At 39.9% G+C, this 3,045-nt stretch overlaps 1 long non-coding RNA gene across 2 annotated transcripts; it reads left to right on the top strand.

Annotated features, from left to right (window-relative positions):
- The first annotated feature begins 417 nt into the window (after positions 1-417).
- LOC124903950 (uncharacterized) lies at positions 418-2,696 on the top strand. 2 transcript variants are annotated; one of them, XR_007065662.1, is made up of 2 exons: positions 418-630; positions 2,137-2,696. It is a non-coding gene; the product is annotated as an uncharacterized LOC124903950 (long non-coding RNA). The 2 variants fall into 2 exon arrangements; XR_007065663.1 differs by having other exon boundaries at positions 2,134-2,696.
- The last annotated feature ends 349 nt before the right edge of the window (positions 2,697-3,045 follow it).

Raw genomic sequence — 3,045 nt, 5'->3', positions numbered from 1 at the left:
GCTGCAGTGAGCTGTCATCGCACCACTGCACTCCAGCTGGGGTGACAGAGCCAGACCCTGTCTCTAAAAAAAAAAAAAAGAAAAGAAAAAAGAAATTGCCACAGCCACCCCAACCTTCAGAACCACACTACCCTGATCAGTAAGTAGCCATCAACACTGAGGCAAGGCTCTGCAGCCAAAAGATTACAACTTGCTAATGGCTCAGAGGGTTGTTAGCATTTTTTAGCACTGAAGTATTTTTAACTAAGGTGTGTACACTGTTTTAGACATATGCTATTGCACACTTCATAGACTACCATATAATGTAAACATAATGTTATATGCACTGGGAGACCAAAAAATTTGTGTGACTCTCTTAATTGTGGTGGCCTGGAACCAAACCTGCAATATCTCCAAGATATGCCTATAGATTTTTGTTTGTTTGTTTTAGCTTTCTCATGGTGCTGAGTGTGTCTGTAGTTAAACAGCCCCTTGTCTTCATTCCCAGGAGCCAGCTGAGGAGGTGTGTCATGCAACTTGCCCCCCCAGCCCTCCCCTTCTAAGGAACCCCCACACCTGCTCTGTCTTCCTGCTACAGTCTCTGAGAAAAGCCCTTTCATCTGTCAAGAACTACAAAAGTCATTCTTTAAGGTAAGAAAATGTGAGGAAGCGATCCATATAGGAAGTTAGAAATATGTACATCAATCAATTCCTATAAGAAAAATGTATAAAATGCCATTTAGTAATGAAAATCTCTTACATTTGCTACCACAAAAGCGAGAATTGTATCTTTTTAAAATGTGGGTGAAAATAAAATAGAAGTATTCGTTAGTGAATATTTTATCCCTGTGAAATACATGCTCCTAAATATAGATAACAACTGAGGAAGAAGACCAGGCAAAGTCAAAAACAACTAAGACAAACAAAACCAGGAAAACAAGTGTCTCAACGGTTGTGACAAATGGAGGAAGGGAGCTTGTCTTGGTCTGTTTCGTGTAGCTATAAAGGAACACCTGAGAGTGGGTAATTTATAAAGAAAAGAGGTCTGTTTGGCTCACGGTCTGCAGGCTGCACTGAAAGCATGATGCTGGCATCTGCTCTGCTTCTGGTGAGACCTCAAGTGGCTTCTTCTTGTGGTGGAAGGGGAAGGGAAGCTGGCCTGTGCAGTGTTTACATGCTGAGACAGGAGGCAAGAGAGACAGGGGATGTTCAGGCTCTTTTTAACAACCAGCTCTCCCTGAGATTAATAGAGCTCAAGAGCTCATTCACCCCTGAGGGAGGGCATTAAATCCATTCACGAAGGATCTGCCCCCGTTAGGCCCCACCTCCAACACTGAGGGTAAATTTCAACATACGATTTGGAGGAAACAAATATCCAAACTATAATAGAACTACCCAGGAATGAACTTGGGCAGAAATAGGATTAAAGATTCCCCATTCTGGAAACATCTGCACAAGGTGGCCAGAAGTGAAAAAATTGAGAAAGTCCAAGCCGCCAGGGAAATGGAGTGAGGCTCTAAACGCATTAATATAAAGGGCAGGATAGGAGCTTTGCTATTGAGGAGACCTCCAGACAGATGCCTGCAAGCACCTTTGTAGTTGTAAGCACTGCTTTGCTGTGTAAACCATTCTTGGTCAACATCCTAACTTGATCTCACTCCCACCTGCCTTACCTGTGGAAAGCCCTTTTCTCCTTCAAGACTCAAAAAAATGTGCTTTCCTTGAAATGGTATTTGTAATCAATAAAGGGCAAAAATTAAATACTGCATAACTAGATTCATGAAAGCAGAATACATAGAACAAGAGCATATTAATACAGGCAAAGCATCTGTTCACAGATTTGCTACTGTGAATGGAGAAAAATGAAATATAATTTTTTAAATTGGCAGTAAAATCAAAAGTTTATTATAATTAGTACTAGTACAAAAAAAATTCTTAACCTGTGATTCTCAGAAGGAGCTTAGAGAAATAGAAAAGAACAGTAAGGGCTCATCTTTGGTGTCAAAGGGACAGCCCCAGAAAATCAAACTGCTTGGGGAGTGGACACTCTTTCCCTCCCAAAATGCCACCTTCCTCCCAGCTCACCCTCACCTACCACCAGCTGTCCCTGAAGAACACCAGTGAGGATCAATTGCTCTTCTGTGTTTGTACCAGCAGTGCTAAATAAACAATGAAACAGACACAAAGTTAAAGTTACCTGATCCAAAAAGGAGTGAAGCCTAGACCCCAGCCCACTGACTCAGTCTCTAAGACCCCTCACTCAAATCTTCAATCAACAGTGGAGATGGCTGTGAGCTCTTCTGATTCCAGATGACAATACTCCTCCCTTTAATTCCTTGATATGTTTAATTATGTAAGTAAATTTAATATAAAAATCATTGCATTAGAGTTCATTGTTTTTATACAAGATTCAGTGTGAGATCAATGTTATACTTCCAATTTGTCACACTTACAGAGAACTGAGAAGAATCACATTATTTAAAATCTTAGCAAATGTGCATAATTCCTTTGGATAATTTTAAAGTGATAGGATTGGATCACATATGATGCAATTGCCTGGGTCTGTTTTGTTTTTAGTTGTATTTGTCTCTCATATTGTGAATCTCATATTTATGTGACTAATTATCAGAAGATTTTATCTTTATTATGCATATTTAGTATAAAATGATCATACAGTGAAGAGTGTGTAAAATCAAAATAAAATGCCATTCATCACCTCTGGCTCTCATTCCAAGAGATAGTCATTGGCCATTTCTCATGCAAATTTCCTGAAGAGTTCTAAGTAAATAGAAGATCTATGTACACACACTTAACCTAAACAGGAGTTTGGTCCTCAGTCTTCGCTCATATCCTTTAATGAGATTTATAATTAGTCCCACTGTTTCCATGGAACAAACTCAACCATTATAATACCTGTGTGTCTTTCTATGGTCTTGTATGACCATCATACCAAGAATACTTCTAGGAATCCCAAGTCTTTCCTGTAAGATTCTTCTGCTCTATGTGGTCTCCACCTGGGACGCATGATGGTTTTCAGTGGTGTCTGGGCTGGTTTCAGACTTGGAT

This window comes from Homo sapiens, chromosome 17 (assembly GCF_000001405.40).
Source record: "Homo sapiens chromosome 17, GRCh38.p14 Primary Assembly".
Lineage (NCBI taxonomy): Eukaryota > Metazoa > Chordata > Mammalia > Primates > Hominidae > Homo > Homo sapiens.
Note: the sequence above shows the minus strand (reverse complement) of the source record. Positions and strands in the feature narration are given on the sequence as shown.